This window comes from Homo sapiens, chromosome 2 (assembly GCF_000001405.40).
Source record: "Homo sapiens chromosome 2, GRCh38.p14 Primary Assembly".
NCBI lineage: Eukaryota > Metazoa > Chordata > Mammalia > Primates > Hominidae > Homo > Homo sapiens.
The window spans coordinates 231904996-231926413 of record NC_000002.12 but is presented as its reverse complement, the minus strand read 5'-3'; the positions used below and the strand labels follow the sequence as shown (position 1 = coordinate 231926413).

General features: G+C 51.4%; 1 protein-coding gene across 2 annotated transcripts, besides 4 other annotated features; it reads left to right on the top strand.

Annotated features, from left to right (window-relative positions):
• On the top strand, nucleotides 18-4605 carry NPPC (natriuretic peptide C). Of its 2 annotated transcripts, none has more exons than NM_024409.4 (3): nucleotides 18-254; nucleotides 699-1009; nucleotides 4099-4605. In NM_024409.4, exons 1-2 carry the CDS (start codon nucleotides 165-167, stop codon nucleotides 987-989), a joined length of 381 nt encoding a protein of 126 aa, NP_077720.1. In that variant the 5' UTR covers nucleotides 18-164; the 3' UTR covers nucleotides 990-1009; nucleotides 4099-4605. The 2 variants fall into 2 exon arrangements, with proteins under 2 accessions (NP_077720.1, XP_011509547.1); XM_011511245.4 differs by having other exon boundaries at nucleotides 1949-4605.
• Nucleotides 905-954: a silencer, noted in NCBI's record as "silent region_12452". NCBI's record gives its function as "represses an Ori minimal core promoter by ATAC-STARR-seq in GM12878 lymphoblastoid cells {active_cell/tissue: GM12878}" and the evidence as "EXISTENCE:reporter gene assay evidence [ECO:0000049][PMID:35858748]".
• Nucleotides 1035-1124: a silencer, noted in NCBI's record as "silent region_12451". NCBI's record gives its function as "represses an Ori minimal core promoter by ATAC-STARR-seq in GM12878 lymphoblastoid cells {active_cell/tissue: GM12878}" and the evidence as "EXISTENCE:reporter gene assay evidence [ECO:0000049][PMID:35858748]".
• Nucleotides 20048-20665: an enhancer, noted in NCBI's record as "H3K27ac hESC enhancer chr2:232770459-232771076 (GRCh37/hg19 assembly coordinates)". NCBI's record gives its function as "activates a minimal SCP1, AML or CMV promoter by ChIP-STARR-seq in naive H9 embryonic stem cells {active_cell/tissue: H9 hESC(naive)}" and the evidence as "EXISTENCE:reporter gene assay evidence [ECO:0000049][PMID:30033119]".
• Nucleotides 20666-21284: an enhancer, noted in NCBI's record as "H3K27ac-H3K4me1 hESC enhancer chr2:232769840-232770458 (GRCh37/hg19 assembly coordinates)". NCBI's record gives its function as "activates a minimal SCP1, AML or CMV promoter by ChIP-STARR-seq in primed H9 embryonic stem cells {active_cell/tissue: H9 hESC(primed)}" and the evidence as "EXISTENCE:reporter gene assay evidence [ECO:0000049][PMID:30033119]".

The window sequence follows — 21418 nt, the reverse complement described above, 5'->3', positions numbered from 1 at the left end:
AGCAGAGTCACGGGCTCAGAGCGCACCCAGCCGGCGCCGCGCAGCACTGGGACCCTGCTCGCCCTGCAGCCCAGCCAGCCTGCTCCGCATCCCCCTGCTGGTCTGCCCGCCGACCTGCGCGCCCTCGCTGCCGCCCGTGTGCGCCCCTCGACCCCAGCGGCACCATGCATCTCTCCCAGCTGCTGGCCTGCGCCCTGCTGCTCACGCTGCTCTCCCTCCGGCCCTCCGAAGCCAAGCCCGGGGCGCCGCCGAAGGTGGGTGCTGTCGTGGGGACGCCGAGCCTGGGAGAGGCGTGGGAGGCTGGGGGCTTGGAGAATGCGGCGCGCAGGACCCAGGAGAGAGGGAAGGCAGGCGGCTGTCTCCTCCGAGATGCGCGTGGGCGAGAGCCGGGGAGCCCTCGAAGCGCGGATTCGGGGGTCCACTTCTCCAGCCTCCGGAGAACATCGGCCCATGCGCAGCCCCCTACCCCAGTGTGGCCTGCCCGGCGAGCAGCAAAGGGAGGGCAGGGGGCTTCCGGAGGGAGCGGCGAAGGCGGCCGCGTGGCAGGTGGATGCGGGGCCAAGCTGGCCGGCATCGGTGGGGGCGGCTCTGGGCTTGGGAGGGACACCCCGCGCCGGCGGGCGCGTGGGGCTGGAGCATCAGAGTCCCCCGTGCTGCAGCCGCGTGTCCCTTCACCTGCCCGCTCTTTCCTCGGACAGGTCCCGCGAACCCCGCCGGCAGAGGAGCTGGCCGAGCCGCAGGCTGCGGGCGGCGGTCAGAAGAAGGGCGACAAGGCTCCCGGGGGCGGGGGCGCCAATCTCAAGGGCGACCGGTCGCGACTGCTCCGGGACCTGCGCGTGGACACCAAGTCGCGGGCAGCGTGGGCTCGCCTTCTGCAAGAGCACCCCAACGCGCGCAAATACAAAGGAGCCAACAAGAAGGGCTTGTCCAAGGGCTGCTTCGGCCTCAAGCTGGACCGAATCGGCTCCATGAGCGGCCTGGGATGTTAGTGCGGCGCCCCCTGGCGGCGGTGAGTACGGCCCACCCGACGCCCAGCCCCAGCCCGGCCCGGGACCGCCCGCCGCCCAGCCGGCCTTCGGAGGCGCGCGAGCCGCCTTTGCTCAAGTTGTGCTAGGCGTTTGCCAGCCGCCCCCTTTATTATCCCACTTTACAGACAAAGAAAGCGAAGGATAACGTGATCGGGGAACTTTGGCAAGGTCAGAAACGGCTCAGCCTGGTTGAACCCACCTGGCTTCTTCTGGAGAAGCAGAAACAGGCTTGGTGGTGTCTCACCCACCCCTGAACCGTAGCTGAACTAGCAGCACTGGCCCCTATTGGCCAGCTGGTGGGGGGATTGAGAGGAGATCATGGGTTTGTGGGAGCAGAGAAGGAAGGTTACACCCACAAGTCCAGGGGACATCGATCATCTGCTGGCCACCATGCCCCCTGTAGTGAGAGTAGCCCTCTGCTGGCACTGTCAGAGCGCCCTTCTGCCTGGGACACTCCGATTCCTGTCCCTTCTCTAAACCCAGGCAGTGGGCAAACTGGTCTGTCCAGGGTCCTGAGGCAGCTGCAGCCTGGTGGCTTCGGGGGTGAATCTCAGTGCTTGTGGCACTATTTCAGGGAATAGGAAAGACACTAAAGTAAATATTATTTGCCCCAGCCTCGAACTCAACACGTCCCAGAGTCCCTCACCAACCCTGTCCCGACCCAACCGGTGCTCTGGGCTCCGTTTCTGGTGTGGGGTCTCACCCCGCACTAGGGCTGGAAACCTCTGCCCTACCGCCACCCCCTGCCGGGTGCCGCGTGGTGGTAATTTACTGCTGCAGAGAGCCTCACCTCTCCTCTTTCCCTCCTCTCTATTCCTGCCGCCTGCCCGTGCCCACTGAATAACATCCCAGCCTCTGACATTGACAGTCATGTGCGTTAGGATCAGGCTTACCTGGCTTTCTCGCTTTCTTGCCTCCAGCTCAGCAGCTGCCACTGCCTGTCCCACACCTTGACTGTCCCATCCCAGGCTACGGGCAAGCTGCTGTCTCCTCCCCAGAAACCCTTGTCAGTGTCGGATCTTCTCCCGGAGGGAAACAAGAGCGCCTGTCCAGCACACTGTCTCTTTTTTACAGTACAGAACACTTTTTCACAGTTTGTGAACCCATTCACCTCTCCATATTGAACAGCTTAAGGGCGAAGTGCTGGCCTAAGGCACTCTAGGACCCACTGCACCCCGAACAGACTCGTGGAAATATTTGTCAATGACCAGAGAAACCAGCACACCCTGGCCCATGGCCACTCCCACCTGCCCGAGGTTTTAACCAGTGCCCTTCCTCTCTTTGCAGCCAGACCTCACTCGGCTGTGGGCCTCTCCCCAGTTCTGCAAAGGCTGTAGTTGTCTGTGATCTTGACTCTCCCCTGCACAGGGAGAAGAATGATTCTGACACTTGGGGACCAGCCTTCAGTAGCTACCCTTGGAATGCCTTTGCTCTCTTCTCTCCTGTCTAAACAACAAAGAGACGGAGTCTGAGGCCTCAAATTTTCAGTTTGATTTAAGCATCAAGTTCAAACTTTAGAACCTGAGCAAATGTTAGTGACTCTCCATTGGTTCGTACCTGGAATGCGCATCCCCACAGGGGCTTTGTTCTTGGGCCTGGATGTCTGTGGTCACCAAGTGATGGCCAAACGGGTGGTGAAAGATGCTGTGTAGGAGGAATCCACATTGTTAAGAATTCTCGACCCCTTTGATCAGGGGGGTTCAATAATCTCCTACCAGCTCTCTTAGCATAGATGAACACTTACCGTCGACACCTTCAACACCGGCTTACGCCCAACACCAGCTGTTTTATTATTATTTGGGAAGGGCGGTGTGGATTTATTATTTGGGATTTTTTAAATGAAAAATAAAAACCCCACCCTCACTGCCCCCCATTCCCAGTGAGAGAGCAGAACATCATTCCTGCAGGCTCCTGGTGACGATGCCCAGGATATATCACTGGGCGTAAAGAGAAAGACAGCTTAGATTTTTCACATTAATGAAAACTCTTTGAGGTTGTGGCTGTTTCTCCACGCAGTGGGTGACCTGGGCTCTAAGCCACCGTAATGATGGTGGTTGATGGTTCTAGGTATTCATTGTAAAATGCTAATGACAGAGACTGGGTGTAGGTGAAACCTGAATGAACACTTTGCCCCTGGGGCCCAGCAACATCACAGACAGCTGTCATCTGTGTAAACTCACGGCAGAGCCAGAGAAGGGAGTGGGGGAGGGTTCATCAAGCCATTCTGGCCCAGGTCCCCTCTGTGCATGCTGTCCTTTGGGAGGGCACTGAACGCCCCTGAAGGCCACCTTCCTTGGGCCCCGGGGCACCCACACACCCATTAGCAGAGAGTTTACCCTAACAACACTCAGAGCCCATGACTGTGCATTTCCCCAAGGCTGGTGTGAGACACCATTTCCTCTGCTCCTGAAGGGGACCTGGACCCAGACCCTTTCCTCTGCACAACCAGCTAGGGAAGGAGGTGCTGTTTACTGGGTGGCAGCTGTGACCCAGACACTGCCGATGCCCGATCCGAGGCTCCCTGTTGAATCTGAAAGCCAGCCCTAGGAGGTGGCTATTATCCAATTTTATGGGTGAACACTCCCAGCTATCCAGGGTCATCCAGGGACCCAACGTCAGAGTAGAGATTTGAGCCCAGGATTCCTGATCCTGAGATGTCTCTCTTCTCCTTCCATCCATGGTCACTCAGACACACGAACCCCGGGCGAGCACTGACTGAGGGTTTGCGTTGTAGCAAAAAAGGGATGGGAGATTTTCCATTCTCTTTCTCTCACTGCGCTTCCCTGAGTGCCAAGGGCAAGGCCTGTGGTTAGACTGGGGGAAGAAGGAGTGTTGCAGACACGCTGGTTCCACTTGTACTGGGGCAGCAAAGCAGAAGGGGCCTGGGGAGTGCGCAATGGGGGGCTCCTCCCCTCTGCAGGAAGGCCTGGTTGGGGGGGTGGCGGAGGTAGGGGAACATCCCTCAAGCTGCTGGGAGAAGGGGAGGAAAGGTTCTAGAACCACCCTGCCTGCTAGGATTTCTCAGCTAAGGGGCCAGAACTGAGCGTCCCGTGTTCACTCTGTGTTTCAGGATCGGGAACTGGCTCCGTTGTGCTGAGGTCATCTTTGGTCATCAGCCTCCAGCATCTGGAAACACCTCCAACGCAATGTGGCTTTTACATTTCTTTCTTTCTTTCTTTTTTTTTCCTGGTACTGGGAATACACAACACCAGCTGTTTTATTATTATTTGGGGAGGGGGTTGTGATTTTATTATTTGTTTTTTTAAAATGAAAAATAAAAAGTTATATATTATATATATATTATATACATGAAACACACACACCTACACCGACTTGATGACAAGGGACAGTTTTTAAGAGACTGACAGAACCAGCTGTAAAACATTGCTGTTTGTAAATTCATGTCATGCATAAATGTATTTATGTTGTAAAGCTATTTATATTGTTTATAAAGAGATATTTATAAAAATTTTATTTATGTAACTAAATGAAAGAAGTCAATCATTGTAATGTTTTTGTCCTAACTAGTTAAAAAAAATGTAAAAAAAAAAAAGTCATTCCATGAATATCTTGAAAACTGTCTTTATTTACTTGTTGCCTGTATTTTTTAGGACTTAGGCTGAGAAAGAGGGAGAATGTGAAGAAAAGGCATTGCCTCCAAATAGGTCTGACAGGCAGATTCCCAATTCTGGATTTATCTGTGTCAGAATCCCCTGGAGACCTTGCTAAAAATACAGATTCCTGCCTTCTCCGAATCTGATAGGACTGGCTGTGTAAGTTTCGTCCCAAGTGATTCTGACCAGCTCAGCCAGGTCAGGAAGCTCTGCTCAAACACCTGACCGCTAGGAAGTCAGATGTTATGAATTAAATTAATGACGGCCGGGCGTGGTGGCAGGTGCCTGTAATCCCAGCACTTTGGGAGGCCAAGGTGGGTGGGTCATCTGAGGTCAGGAGTTCAAGACCAGCCTGGCCAATATGGTGAAACCCCATCTCTACTAAAATTACCAAAATTGCCGGGCGTGGTGGCAGGTGCCTGTAATCCCAGCTACTCGGGAGGCTGAGGCAGGAGAATTGCTTGAACCCAGGAGGCAGAGGTTGCAGTGAGCCGAGATCACAGACGGCACCCCAATCCTGGGCAACAGAGCAAGACTCCATCTCAAAAAAAAAATTAATTTTGAATTCAGCTGACTTAGGGTCCTGTAAATTCTACTCCATCTTCTGCTGTTAGTGGAAGAAATAGCTGCTAACTCCCTCTCTGTTTGGGGGAGATTTAGAAGGCTTCTGCATATCTTGCAGAATTGGCCAGGTCACCTTACGAATCTCAGCAACTCTGTTTTCTAGACTCGCTCACAAAGCCTAGGATGGGTAGTTTGTGCCTCATAATGAATGCCATGGTCAGCTGGGAGCCGAGACCTTGGAGAGAAGGAAAAGGCGTTATCAAATTTCATATCTGTAGTGTGCTGCGCTTTGTGGGAGGGTTGTGGGTTTTCTTTTCACTTGAAGCCACTAACAATTACATTTCCTATGCCCCATGGAGCTATGAGTGTGGAATTATGAATATAATTTAGAATTTATGAATATAATTTAGATTAGAATCTCTTCTCCTAAAACCAGCAGGAAACTTTGAAATAATTCCGAGGTACTCTCACTACATGCTTGGTTGGATGACAGCCCTGTGCAGCCTTCCCTGTCATCTGTCCCCTGTTAGGGGAAGGTGGGAACATACCCTCTTGGGCCAGTAACATCAGTGGATTGGGGGCACCCTGCTCAGGGGAATTGGGAGCAGTGTTGCCCTGTGCTCATGGGTCCGCAGGCACCGAGAGGAGTTCCAGAGGAAGTGTCACTGGGGAGGTAGCCAGTGTCACCTGGTCTTTCTGTGGGTGTTTGAGCCCTGGGACCTTTGTTCCAGGTAGCCCTCCAGCAGCAACCTCTCAAGTGTGTGAGTAGCCAACACAGTGACATTGCCCAGGTGAGAAATCCCCTTTTAGACATGTTCCTGGCTGGGCACAGTGGCCACACCTGTAATCCCAACAGTTTGGGAAGCCGAGGCGGACAGATCACTTGAGCCCAGGAGTTCGAGACCAGCCAGGGCAATTTAGCAAGACCCCCATCTTTACAAAAAATAAAAAAATAGCTGGGCATGGTGGTGGCCACCTCTAGTCCCAGCTACTCGGGGGAAGGCTGAGGTAGGAGGATTGCTTGTGCCCCAGAGGTCAAGGCTGCAGTGAGCTGTGATCACCCCTCTACACTCCAACCTAGGCAACAGAGTGAGACTGTTACACACAAACACACACACACGCACACACAAAAGAAAGAAAAGACACGTTCCAGCTTCTACAACTTCCCTCAAAAGTTCTCTCAACTTCCACAAGTGCCCCAGAGGACATTTCCAGTCCCCCTTCCTTGGGGACACCTGTGGAAGCCACCCAGAGCATGGCTACCTTCCTCTGTCCCACTCCCACCTCGGTGGCTGGAAGATTATGGGCCCGCATCACTGACGCTGAGGACTCCAGCACCCGAGCCTCGCCAGTGAGTGCCCCGGCTCCTTGTGCTGTCTGCAGACCCCTTACAGACCAGGGAGGGAGCAGGGGGTGGCAGAAGGTGACACTGCCAGCTTTGCTGGTGGCGAGGCAGGCACGTCTTCCCAAGGCCCAGAGGCAGAAGGGATGGCGAATTCTGGGATCTAGGGAACCCCCACTAGAAGCTAAAGGGTTTTCCCTGTGGACAGTGCCTGGCTACCATCTGGGCCAATATGGCCTCTCGGGCCCAAGCTACACATGCTGTCCTCCTAAGTGCTCTTGTCCTGCGTATTTGCCTGCAAACAAAAAGCACAGCCCTCCGCTGTCAAGGCCAGCCCCTCCGCCTGTTGCTTTAGGATACAGCCATACAGCCAGTCCTCCCCTTTTACATCCAGACCTGAAGTCCTGCAACTGCTTCCTCAGCAGCGACTGGAATATGTTGTCCCAGCCAGGGATTTCCGCAGGAAAGCCCAGAAGGAGTGACAAATATTCAATAACTAACAGGAAGTGTTTTGACACCTCCAGAGATGGCCCAGGTGCTGTTATCTGAGAGCTTCCAGCCTTGGGCCTCTGTCCTGGCCTCCTTCCTCTCAGGGAGCCTCTAATCTCCAAGCTGCCTGGAGCACCTGTGGCTTCTCTCCCATCTGAGGTGACAACTGCCAGGGCCAGCTTGGAGAAACAGCGCCCAGGTGGGGCTCGCTGGAGTCCCGGTCCTCTCAAAACGGGCATCTCTGCAGTGCGGGAAGACATATCTTGATCATCTCTTGGCCTTTTAGCTAAGATCAATTGTAGAAGAGTCCCTGGGAAACGCCACGGGGCTGGACAGGCCAGAGCACAGCAGAGGCAAAGAGAGTTTCGGGGGCTGGAGGGCCTCGTTCCCTTTCCAGCAGCACAGCCATTGGGGGAGGCAGGGGGCCCACAGGGAGGAGTCGCTGGGCATGCCTGGTCCCTGGTGCCGCAGCTGTTGACATGTGGGAACCCTGGCCCAGCAGCACTAGGCCCAGGAAGCCTACCTTGGGCCCCCACACACGCCTGGAGGAAAGGCCCAGTCTGTCAAGCCCATCTGAGGACATCACGTTGAGAGGCAGCGCCCGTGGGGCAGAGGTGGTGCACCTGCCATGGAGGCGGTGTGTGCCCTGGCGAGGTGGGGCGGTATCGCCAGGCCTACAGCAAGTGGTCTGGGAGCCTGCCTTCCCCACCAAACAAGCAAGAGGGCCTCCCCTGACAGTCATGACCTGCAAGGGTGGTGGGAGATAGGGCTCTGCACGGGTTGGGCGCCCTGGGGGTGATCAGAGAAGCCTCAATATCCAGACCCTGTTGGTGCCTTAGGAAGAGCCCTTAGCCTAGTCAGGAGAGTGGTAGGGGGAGGCTGAGTAGCCCCAACCCTCAGTTGTGAGGGGTAAGTGGGGAAGAAGCATCAGTGGGGGGCCCATCAGAAATGGGATTTGAGGCCTGGCATGGTGGTTCATGCCTGTAATCCCAGCATGTTGGAAGGCCGAGGTAGGCGGATCGCTTGAGGCCAGGAGTTCAAGACCAGCCTGGGCGACAGGGCAAAACCCCATCTCTACAAAAAATACAAAAATTAGTTGGACAGGGTGGTGCCCACCTGTAGTCCCAGCTACTTGGGAGGCTGAGGTGGGAAGATCACCTGAGCCCAGATTGCACTACTGCACTCCAGCCTGAGTGGCAGTGAAACCTTGCCTCAAAAAAAAAAAAAAAAAAAAAAAACCCAGATTTGACTCCAATGGTTCACATGAAGAGCTTTAAGAAAGCGACAATTTCCAGAGTCGGGGCAGCTGAGAGAGAGGTGCCCAGTGGGAAGCCAGTTTCTTCCCTGGGGCCGAAGGGAGGGAGCTGTCTTCAGAGCTGAGCTGGGTGGGGTGTCATCTAGCAGGAGCTGTGCCATGGGGCAGAAGCTGTGCCATGGGGCAGGAGCTCCTGCAGGGATGTGGAATGAGAACGATCTCGGCTTCTTTCTCCCCTCCCTTCCAGCCTCCTGCTGGTGTGTCCAATTGGCTAGAACCCAAGCAGCAAGCGGGAGGGGCCAGGGCAGGCTGTGACCCACCAGCACAGGAGCGCCTTGGTTGAAGTGTCAGCCAGCAACTCCCTCTCACAGGGATAAGGCCAGGCAGCAGGGCAGGGGTGGATACCACCTCTCTAGAGGCAATTTCTTATCTTGGTTGCAGAAGACAAAAGTGACCACATCAGAAGTATGAGCGCAGCGTGACTAGCAGGTCTGATCCTGGGAGTGACCTCACATTTATAGCTGTAATGGGCTTGCCTTGTGGATCACTGGTCCTCCCTCCCTGCCCCAGAGAATGCCAGTTGACAATGTCCCCTCCCTGATGGCAGAGTGTCTGATGTTCTCTATCCGATCCTGGTCCAGGCCCTGGACAGATGCCATTTGTTGTCCAGTGAAGGGACAGAAGCAGAAATGTTTCCTGGCAAGCTCCAGTCAGTTCCTCTCCAGGGCAAACCAGCCCTAGAGCAGCCTGCCTCACCCCCAGCATCCCCACGGTCTACTCTGTCCTGTTCGAGAATTTCAGTTTGTTTTTCACACCTCTGATTCAATCTTCCACCACATTTTCTATCTCTTTGTAAGTTTTCTGTATCTGATCCTTTTCCCCTTTTGTCTTATCTGGTTCCCTTTTGATCTCACTGTTGCCTTTTCATTTTAGCTCCTGATTCACAGAGTCCACGTCCTCCCGCATCCAACATCGAATGTAGCAGTTTACTGAGACTTTCTTCTAGATCCTTTTGCAGATATATTTCAGAGATCTGTTCTCTGTGTATCCTGAAGGCATGCGTGAGCACCCCATCTCACCTGGCCATTTTTGTGATTTGCAATCTGTGTGCTTAGTTGGAGAAAGATGTTGGGAAAATGGCAGAATATCAGATGGCAGGAAAAGAGCCTGCCCATCTCAGGAAGCATGAGAGGAATGGCTGGCAGCCCACCAGTCCTGGGACTCTGAGTGGAGACCCCGAGAACGGAGAAGTGAATGCTTTTACTCATTCCTCATTGAGGCATTTGGTCCATGAACCAAAAGCCAAGGCAGGGTCAGCTGTTCCTCTACGGCTCCTTCTAGTCTCAGTTCCTCCTCTTCCTGACTTGGCAGTGTCTGTCGGTCTCACTCTGGAGTGTTGTGAGTTTGGGTCCACATCGATGCCTCCCTGCATGGAGCCCCCCTCCAAAAACAGCTTTGAGGCCAGGCGCAGTGGCTCACGCCTGTAATGCCAGCACTCTGGGAGGCCAAGGCAGGTGGATCACTTGAGGTCAGGAGTTCGAGATCAGCCTGGCCAACATGGCGAAAACCCATCTCTACTAAAAATACAAAAATTAGCTGGGTGGCACAGCTACTCGGGAGGCTGAGGCAGGAGAATTGTTTGAACCCGGGAACCTGAGGCTGCAGTGAGCCACGATCGTGCCACTGCACTCCAGCCTGGGCAACAGAACGAGGCTCTGTCTCAAAAAAAACAAAAAACGAAAAACAAAAAAAAAAACCAGCTTTGGAGCCAGAAACTGTTTAATAAATTACATTCCAATTTGTGAGGATGGGAAGTTCAACCATTTCATTAACTTTTTAATTATTTCAGCTATCAGAATATGCTTTTGTTTTATTTTGTTATTTTCTGTTTATTTTTGCATGTATATTACTTCATAATTTTATTTATATTGGTTTTAATTTTCTGAACCTTTTCTCAATGCTTAACTGAACACATTCCAGAGTATGACTGTATCGATATCCCAAAGTTTTGATATGTGGCAATTTCACTGTTCTTAGCTTCTAAATAGTCTATTGACCTATTTTTTTTCCATAACAAGTGGAGTTTAATTTTTGTTTAATTCGTATTATTAACTTTAGTACTACTGAGGTTGGTTCAGTGATTGTATACTTTCTGCTTTATTATTAATTCCTATGTTTTAATCAATTTTGTAACTAGCACACAGATAGTTTGAAAATATAAAGACCTACTAACACAGTTCAAAATTCCGTAAATATTTAATCCATTTTACCTTTTATATTACCATGGCCCAATCTTCTGACCCTGTTTTTGATTCACTGAAGACTGATAATGATGTTGGAAAATGCACTGTGACTTTTTTCCCATTTATCCTCACATTCATAGTTATATGGTTGTTATTCAGTACAGAAGGTTCAGTATTAACATATCTATTAGGAGATGGGGGGTTATGCTGTGCTAACAAGCCATCCCCAAAGCTCAGTGGCTTAAAATGCCAAAGGTTTGTTTCTTGCTCATGCCTGGAAGAGACCTAGATTTCAGCAAACAGGAGTCATGCCTGCACCCACGTAGCCTGCACTTAGAGTTCCTTCATTTTATGCCAAGTACTTCCCAGTAAATTCTGTTTTGTCTGATGTGAACATTATCAGCCCTATTTTATTTTTATTGGTGCTTGATATCTTTTCCCAAGCTTTGATCCTTTCCCTTCTTGTGTGTGGGTTTTTTAAAATTTAGGTGTATTTATAATATATTAGGTTAAAATATATGTAATTTGAAAAATTTTGCTTTTTATTAAGGAGGCCTAAGTTGTTCACACTATTGCTTATGCTTGGACCAATGTCTTCATCTTGATTTTGACTTTCTGTTTTTAAGGTTCTTTTACATTTTTTGTTCCATTTTACTTGTTTTCTGTAGACTGTTGTGCTTGCTTTTATCTTCTGCAATGATTTGGAAAATAGACAGCCGGTGTGTAATTCTGTTGGAGGTTCCTTAAGGTTTTTCATGAAAATTATCAAACACACATTTATATTGCTATCCAAATGAAAATCACACACAATAACTTCAGGCTCCTTCAGAAGACAGACAAGGAATTTGGGCCATTTGCTCCTTCCTGGCCTCCTCTGTCCTTTCTGGGCCATTAACGTAATCTGAGGACTTTCTCCTTACCTGGTTAAAACCACCAAACCTCCTTTTCTCGCATGGGGCCCGTTCCACACTCATCTTCATCTGGGGCTGGCTCCCCGACCACTGCTTGTCCTCATGGCAACTTGGCCCTCTCCCAATGTCTCTGGGGTTTAGACTTCAGCCCAGCATATGGGGGGTGTGTGTGTGTGTGTGTGTGTGTGTGTGTGTGTGTGTGTGTGTATAGGGGTGGTCTGGATCGTTCTAGGCAGCACAGACCAATTCTCTGTGGAGTTTGACGACTATTTCATTTCTCCAGCGTGAGGGCAGAAGTGGCTCTGTGAAGCATCCCCAGAGAAACACACACCTGTAGCGACTTCCTCCACCCGAGGAGCCAGAGAGGAGTTGGAGAAGGGGCAGGCCTGTCATCCCCAGGCCTGTGCACAGCCTGGAGTCTCCAGATGTGAACAGAACAGAAACAAGGTTCCCAAGTGTCCTGCTTGTACAGTCAAGGAGGGTGGACAAGAGTCTCGTCACACTTGGAGGAACACCATGGGGCGGGACAGCTCTGCAAAGGATTCAAGGACTGCCCTGGGACAAAGGCAGACAAGGTGGAGGGGGCTGATCAGAAAGCACAGGCATCAAAATTAGCCGGGCATGGTGGGGCTGTCTGCATTGGGATCCTGGCGTTTGGATGCTGGGGTGAGATAGAGAACCTCGGGTAAGCTTTGAGCCCTGGGAAGGCCTGCGGGGCTCCGCTCCCTCCCGTCACTTGGTCTTCCCATCAGTGGGTCTGTGGACATAGCACGGGCTTCCTTCCTGGACACTGAGGGGCCCAGTGCTGGTGTGAATTCTGGGTGCAAGCAAAGAGAGTCAAGGTGAGCAAGCTGTGGCAGTGGCTTCTGGGCTCCGATGGACTGGACGCCTCTGGACAAGCCATTTGCCGTGGGGGAGGGCTGCCCTCAGGACACAGGGGTGGGCCTCCTTCACACGACCCACAGCAACAGTGGTACTCAGCACCTGGATACAAGCGGCCCAGCAGGAAAAACGTGGGTATAGATTTATGTCTACATTAAACATAAGCACATCAGTATTATTATTTTGAGATACATTTTCACTCTTGTCACCCAGGCTGGAGTGCAGTGGTGCAATCTTGGCTCACTGCAACCTCCACCTCCCAGGTTCAAGTGATTCTTCTGTCTCAGCTACCCAAGTAGCTGGGCTTACAGGCGCCTGCCACCACGCTCGGCTAATTTTCATATTTATAGTAGAGACAGAGTTTCACCATGTTGGCCAGGCTGGTCTCGAACTCCTGACTTCAGGTGATCCGCCCGCCTCGGCCTCCCAGAGTGCTGTGATTACAGGCGTGAGCCACCGCGCCCAGCCCACATCTGTATCATAAGATTACACATACACATATCCGTATCTGCATGATCTCTGTCTATGCTCATACTTTCTTCCCAGGCCCGGGGATTGTCTTGCAGACACCCCCGCAACTCAGAGACACGCCCCACACCCATGAACCCACATTGTTTGCAATGAAGACGTAATTCACACACACAATGTTCATAGCAGCATTATTCATACATAATTAAAAAGTAGAAACAACCCAAATGCCCATCACCTGGTGAATAAATAAAATATGGCATCTCCATGCAGTAGAATATTATTTGACAATAAAAAGAAATGAAGTACTGATTCATTCCATAACATAAATGAACCTTAAAAACATCATGTGAGCTGGGCACAGTTGTTCATGCCTGAACTCCAACACTTTGGGAGGCAAAGGTGGGAGGACTGCTTGAGCCCAGGGGTTTGAGACCAGCCTAGACAATACAGCGAGACCCCATCTCTACAAAAAGTTTTTTAAAAAATTAGCCAAGCATGGTGGTGCATGCCTGTAGTCCCAGTTACTCCGGATACTGAGGCAGGAGTGTCGCTTGAGCCCAGGAGGTCGAGGCTGCAGGGAGCCGTGATCACATCACTGCACACCAGCCTGGGTGGCAGAGCAAGACCCTGTCTAAGAAAAAATAAAAGGAAAAGAAAAGAAGCTGGGCATGGTGGCTCACGCCTGTAATCCCTGCACTTTGGGAGGCTGAGGTGGGTGGATCAACTGAGGTCAGGAGTTTGAGACCAGCCTGGCCAACATGGTGAAACTCCGTCTCTACTAAAAATACAAAAAATTAGCCGGGCGTGGTGCCGCCCGCCTATAATCCCAGCTACTCAGGAGGCTGAGGCAGGAGAATCTGTTGAACCCAGGAGGCGGAGGTTGCAGTGAGCCAAGATCGCACCATTGCTCTCCAGCTTGGGCAACAAGAGGAAAACTCCATCTCAAAAAAAAGAAAAGAAAAGATCATGCTAAATTAAAGAAGCCAGGCACAAAAGGCTACATACAATTATGAATCCTTTCATATGAAAGATCATGAATAGGCAGGTCTGAAAACCCAGAAAGCACGTCGGTGGCTGTCAGGGCTGGAGCGGGGCTGGTGAAATAGGCAGTAACTGCTGATAGGTACAGGATTTCTTCCAAGGTTAGGAAAACAGCCTCAAATTGATCGTGGTGATGGTTGCACAACTCTGTAAAGATATAAAACACAGGCCAGGCATGGTGGCTCATGCCTGTAATCCCAGCACTTTGGGAGGCTGAGCGGGTGGATCACTTGAGGCCAGGAGTTCAAGAACAGCCTGGGCAACATGGTGAAACCCCATTTCTACCAAAAATACAAAAAATTAGCCGAGTGCGGTGGCGGGTTCCTGTAATCTCAGCTACTCGGGAGGCTGAGGCAGGAGAATCACTTGGGCCTGGGAAGTGGAGGTTGCAGTGAGCCAAGATCGTACCATTGCATTCCAGCCTGGGTGACAGAGCGAGACTGTGTCTCAAAAAAAAAAAAAAAAAAAAAGGCCCGGCGCGGTGGTTCACACCTGTCATCCCAGCACTTTGGGTGGCCGAGGTGGGCAGATCACGAGGTCAGGAGATCGAGACCATCCTGGCTAACACGGTGAAACCCCGTCTCTACTAAAAATACAAAAAATTAGCCGGGCGTGGTGGCAGGCGCCTGTAGTCCCAGCTACTTGGGAGGCTGAGGCAGGAGAATGGCGTGAACCCGGGAGGCAGAGCTTGCAGTGAACAGAGATCGCACCACTGCACTCCAGCCTGGGCGACAGAGTGAGACTCTGTCTCAAAAAAAAAAAAAAAAACCCAACAACATTGAATTTGGATTCACTGCTTTAAATGGGTGAAGTGTACGGTGTGTGAACTATATCAAAATAAAGCTGTGACTAAAAAAAAGTTACTTCAAAATAGAAGAAAGACTCTTAGAATAAAGACTCCTGCACTCAGAGCCCCACCCTGTGTGTGAGACTAGACGTTTTCCAGGAGCGATGTTCCCTAAGCTGCATACAGGGGAGGGGGACCCACGCCAAGGTGTCAGGTGGCCAGGTCATTCCTGGCACCACTCCTTTTTCTAGGGGAACTTGGCCAAGTGTAACCTCAGCTTCTGTAAACTGGAAGCAATCATAGTACTACCTCGTGGGGGCTGCTACAAGGATGGCATGAGATGACCCGTATCCTCACTCTAAGCCTGACAGGTAGAGAGCTGTGGTCACTATGAGACCAGGTCATGCACCTCTGCCACCCAAGTGCCTGGGTTTCCCAAACTGCAAGCAAAATCTCAGTCCCAGGAACAGTGATACCCAAATCACAACAGCCTGGAGGACTGTGCCGCCTCCTCACAGTCACCTCCATGGCTTCAGGGAAATGCCAGAGACACCTCACCTGTGAACATGACAAGCCCATTTGCTTTCTTCCCTTTTCCTTCAGGTTGATAGTCCACAGCTCACAGCCCTCAGAGACGACCCTGGACCCTGCATGCTGGCAATTCCCCCCAGGGATGCTGCCCTGCACTGGGTCCTCCTGAGCTCCCGGGGTGCCCAGCTCTGGGGCTGCAGTGGGGGAGGATTCTGAGTCTCACACTGTCTAAGTGGTGCTGCTGGGCTGAATCTGTGGTCTTTGTATCACATGAGCTGCCGCATGGGCTACTGCCACCAGCTGCTTGGCCTTCAAGCATGAAGTCAATACAGGTGGGTGGGGAGGGGCAGAGGCGGAGGGTGGCAGATGACCCCAAGCCACTCCCTCCTTCCTCTTCAAATGCTTATTTCTGTCTTCACAGTGTTCTCATTCCCTACCCAACACACCCCGCAAACTCTCCACCTCCACCAGCCAAGCAACACGGGTCCTTGTGCTTGTCAATGCCTACGAAGAGCCGTGAACTCCCTGGTCCATAAAAGCGGTCCCATTTGGGCAGAGCCAAGATGCTCTGCTATACCCCAAAGGTGGCTGCAACTCCCTCAAGGGCAGGAATGGGGCCTTTCTTGTTTTGGTGTTCCCGACATCTAGCCCAGTTCCTGGAATGTCCCAGGTGCTGGCAGAAGTTTGCTGGAGGGCTCTTTGCAGAAGGCACAGAGGACCACATTCTGTTATCAGCAAGTCAAACCAATGTGGCTGGCCTGGGGACATTAGCTTCTGTCCCTTGATGGATGCTGGCCACCCTACCTTCCAAGACACTGCCCAAGAGAGGTCTCTTCTAAGGGAGTGGCAGGCACATGAAGAAGGAGAGACCTCCCCCGCCCCCGCAGGAAGCGCTCCTTCCCACACAGGCTTTCCTCCCTGCACATCTTCACGTCCAAAAGCCACAGAAATGGCTGCTCAGGGCTGGGCGTGGTGGCTCACTCCTGTAACCCCAGCACTTTGGGAGGCTGAGGCAGGCAGATCACCTGAGATCAGGAGTTCGATACCAGCCTGGCCAACATGGCGAAACCCTATCTCTACTGAAAGTACAAAAATGAGCCGTGCATTGTGGTGCATGTCTGTAATCCCAGCTACCAGGGAGGCTGAAGCAGGAGAATCATTTGAACCCGGGAGGCAGAGCTTGCAGTGAGCTGAGATTGCGCCACTGCACTCCAGCCTGGGCAACAGAGGGAGACTCTGTCTCAAAGAAAAAAAAAAGCCACAGAAATGGCTGCTCAATTTCTGTTGTTGTCATTATCAAAGTTTTAAGGCTTCCTTTATGATCCTGCAAAGCCCATTTCCCCTAGGCCGCCACATCCGTCCTCTGGCAACAATTCCCCTTGTGGTCCCTTCCTGTAATGAGAAGGTCTCTCTGACCGTTAGGCCTGAAGACAAACATCTTAGAATACATGTGGTTAGACAAACATCTTGGCCCCTCTGAGCCGCAGTTTCTTATCTGTCAAATGGGAATAATACCTAATTCAGAGGGCTGAGGGTGGGGGTGGGGAACCAGATGCCGGATGCTGTGAAAAGGTCTTTGCTGCTGGCACAGTGAATACTTAATAAGTGGCAAGACCAATGATAGGATGCACATGGATTTGGGAGGCTGAGGTGGGAGGATCACTTGACATCAGGGGTTCAAGACCAGCCTGGCCAACATGGTGAAACCCCGTCTCTACTAAAAATTCAAAAATTAGCCAGGCATGGTGGTGCATGCCTGTCGTCTCAGCTACTTGGGAGGCTGAACCTGGGAGGCAGAGGTTGGAGTGAGCTGAGATCGCACCACTGCACTCCAACCTGGGTGGCAGAGCAAGACTCTAAAAAATAAAATAAAATAAAATAGTACTTGCATAACATGCGTGGGCTTCTCCAGCAAAGTATACTGGATACAGGGTGAATAGGAAGCTACGGTCTTTCCTAGGTGATCATCTTTTCAATAATATATATCACCGAAAGAGAATTTTAAAGAGAATACGTGAAGCCACCCATATCTAGAGAGGTTGTAACTCACATAATGCAGACATGGATGCTGGGCACCCCACCCTCCAAGCTCATCCTGGATCCAGCCACATCTTGCCCCTCCTCTGCTCCCACCCTGCTCCAGCCACCTCCATCTCATGCCTGGGCAACTGAAAGAGATGCCCGGGCATGGAAGGGGAATCTCCTTGCTTCCAGTCCTACTCCCCTCTCTGCAAGCCTAAGGGATGAGTCCTACCGCAGGGCCTTTGCACTTGATGTTCTCTCTGCCTGGACAGCCGTTTCCCTAGACATTCTCAGGATGCATTCACTTACTTTTTCATTCAGATCTCCGCTCCAAAGCCAATCCCCCAGTTAGGCCTTTTCCAATATCTTATCTGGAAAGCCTTCTCCCCGCTGCCCACGCCCTGGTACTCCCCACTCTGCTTTCTTTTCCTTCTGACGTCATATTCTGTGCTTATTTGTTTATTGCTCATCTTTCCCATCAGAATGTAAATTCCATGGGGTGGAATTTTGTTTTGTTCCCACTGCAAGTCCAGTGTCTATACCCTAGAACACTTTTTTTTTTTTTGAGATGAAGTCTCGCTCTGTTGCCCAGGCTGTAATGTAGTGGTGTACAATCTCAGTTCACTGCAAGCTCCGCCTCCCGGGCTCAAGTGATTCTCATGCCTCAGCCTCCCAAGTAGCTGGGATTACAGGCGCCCACCACCACCTCCGGCTAATTTTTGTATTTTTAGTAGAGACAGGGTTTCGCCATGTTGGCCAGGGTGGTCTTGAACTCCTGACCTCAGGTGATCCGCCTGCCTCAGCCTCCCAAAGTGCTGGGATTATAGGCATGAGGCACAGCCTGACCCCTAGAACACTTTAAATGCTCAATAAATGCTTGTTGGCTGGGCATGGTGGCTCATGCCTATAATTCTAACACTTTGGGAGGCCGAGGTAGGCCAATTGCTTGAGCCCAGGATTTCAAGACCAGCCTGGGCAACATAGGGAGAACTTGTCTCTACAAAAAATTTAAAAATTAGCTGGCCGTGGTGGTGCAGGCCTGTAGTCCCAGCTACTTGGGAGACTGAGGCAGGGGGAAAGGATCGCTTGAGCCCAGCAGGTCAAGCTTGCAGTGAGCCATGATTGCACCACTGCAGTCCAGTCTAGGTGACAGAGCCCAGACTTCGTTCCCCACCCCGCCAAAAATTTCAGTGTTTGTCAAATGAATAAATCGTCATGTCTATGGCTGAGTTTTGGATAACGGCACAGTTCCAATAAAGCAAAAAAAAAAAAAAAAAAAAAAAAAAAAAAACCATGGAGTTTAATGGAAGTGTCTTTTACGCAGTGCTAAAAAAGTCTAATCTATACTTTTGATGGCTTATTGTATTAAAACCCCCACAAAGCTCTGTGAGTGGGAAGAGCAGCTCAGGCATCTCAGGGAGGTCCTTGGCACACATGCCTCGGGGCTTCGCAAACCACTCAGAGAAACTGCTGAGGTCAGTGGTGTTCTCAGAAAAGGGCGCTGGGGGCCATGAAGAAGAAAGTCAAATGCTCCAGGAAGTGGCAGGAAGCTAGATCACACAGGTCATTCCTAGACCCCTGGGAAGCTTGAGGAGGCCCAAAGACCACCTCCAAGAGAGCCTTCCCTGCCTGGAGCCCACTGTTCTGAAGGCACTTTCTAAGGCCACTGGGTGCTAATGCAGCACCCAAACACTGTTTGAAGCAGGTGTGGGAGGAGAGGCAAACAACCGCATCTATCATAAGTCTCTTTTTTTTTTTTGAGACAGAGTCTCGCTCCATCGCCAGGCTGGAGTGCAGTGGCGCGATCTTAGCTCACTGCAACCTCTGCCTCCTGGGTTCAAGCAATTCTCCTGCCTCAGCCTCCTGAGTAGCTGGGACTACAAGCGTGCTACCACGCCCAGCTAATTTTTGTATTTTTAGTAGAGACGGAGTTTCACGATATTGGCCAGGATGGTCTTGATCTCTTGACCTCATGATCCGCCTGCCTCAGCCTCCCATAGTATTGGGATTACAGGCGTGGCCACAGTGGAACTGTATTCTGCCTTTCATAGAACTTGTTTTTTTTTTTTTTTTAGACAGGATCTCACTCTGTCGCCCAGACTGGAGTGCAGTGGCACCATCTCAGCTCATTGAAGCCTCAACCCATCCTCCCACCTCAGCCTCCCGAGTAGCTGGGACTACAGGCACGTGACACTACACCCTGCTAATTTTTTTTTTTTTTGTAGAGACAGGGTTTTGCCATGTTGCCCAGGCTGGTCTCAAACTTCTGGGCTGAAGCGATGCACCCACCATGGCCTCCCAAAGTGCTAGGATTGCAGGTATGAGCCATCGCACCTGGCCATATAGAATACAGAACTTTTTTCTTTTTTTGAGACAAAGTTTCCCTCTTGTTGCTCAGGCTGGAGTGCAATGGTGTGATCTCAGCTCACTGCAACATCCACCTCCCAGGTTCAAGCGATTCTCCTGCCTCAGCCTCCCGAGGAGCTGGGATTACAGGTGACTGCCACCATGCCTGCCTAATTTTTTGTATTTTTAATAGAGATTTCACCATGTTGGCCAGGCTGGTCTCGAACTCCTGATCTCAGGGGATCCACCCGCCTTGGCCTCCCAAAGTGCTGGGATTACAGGCGTGAGCCACCATGCCCAGCCATAAAGAATTCAGACTTTTAATAGGAGTCTGTCTTTGTTTCTGACCCCAATGCTTTTACATTTCTTTATGTTCTGAACAAAAGAAGTACCACCAAATGCGTTCCACCACCACCAAAAGACACTGGCTCTGCAGTTGGGCAAGGACTAACCACAATGACAGTTCAATTTGGTCCAAACATGGTGGTATTTAAGGTTAGCCAATAATTCTCAACATATCGTCCGTCATTCTTTATTTTTTAAAGTCCAGTGAGGTCTGAATAGTATCTGTGGCCGACACTGAGAATCTAAAAGCTGGCAATTTTAAGGGGAAAACCACAGCCTCCTGGTGCCCTCTGGTGGTGAAGCAGTAGGACTGCATGAAATTACAAAGTGTTGAGTCAGTCGCTCCCAAACTAGAACATATTCAGATCTGTTAAAACACAACTTGCTGAAACTCACCCTCAGTTCTAATTTGGAAGGTCGGAGGTAGGACCTGAGAACTGGCATTTCTAACAAGTTTCCAGGTGCTGCTGCTGTTCCTGGGACTGCACTTGAGAATCACTGGTTTAGGTTACCTAGCCCAAACCTGCTTCTATCACAGTACTAGACTGCATGCTAGAACATTTTTTCCTTTTTTTTTTGAAATGGAGTCTCACTCTGTCACCCAGGCTGGAGTGCAGTGGCACAATTTCGGCTCACTGCAACCTCCGCCTCCCGTGTTCAAGTGATTCTCGTGCCTCAGCCTCCGGAGTAGCTGGGATTACAGGCGCGCACCACCACGATCCTCGGCTAATTTTTGAATTTTTAGTACAGACAGGGTTTCACCATGTTGGCCAGGCTGTTCTCAAACTCCTGACCTCAGGTGATCTGCCTGCCTCGGCCTCCCAAAGTGCTGGGATTACAGGCATGAGCCACCACACCGGCTAGAAAATTAACTAAAACAAGCATTTTTCTACACTTGAACAGTGGCTGCTGGCGATTTTTTTGTTGGTTTTCAATCTTCCAAATGTTTGCAATGTGGTTATAAATTTTTTAAAAGCAAAGCAAAACACCCAAAGGACATGATTCTTGTTGGAGAACTGTTACCACGGGCCTTTCCAAGAGGCAGGCACAGACCACTGTTGGCAAAGATGGACTGGTGCTTTGGATCGTGGGCCCCTCTTTGCCTTTTTCACAGCTTTCTGTCCAAGGCCCTGCTGTTCCAAAGACCACACCAGGTTGTGCCCAGACTCCCTGTGGAGCTGGCTCCCCAGACACAGCCCTAGACCCTGGAGGATCCACTTCTCCCCAGAAGCTGGACTCTCCCTCTGCCCAGGGGACTCCAGACCCGTCTCCTCTTGCCAACCCCAGGTGCTCGCTCTTGGCTGCACCCTGCTGCTCCTCAAAGAGCTCCTGGGAGAGGAGAGTCTGGCCTGGGCCCAGCCCAGCCCTGCCTGTCTGCTGAGGGGGCAGGGTGGGGCGCACAAATGAGACGCTCAACTCCCATGGCTCTGCTGAAAGAAGCCAGGCCCTCAGGCACTGGGAGAAAAGTGCCTTTGGGGGTGGCAGGGGCTTGGAATCAGCATCACCAAGGCCACAGGGACTTCGTCTGCACCAACTCTCTGGCTTAG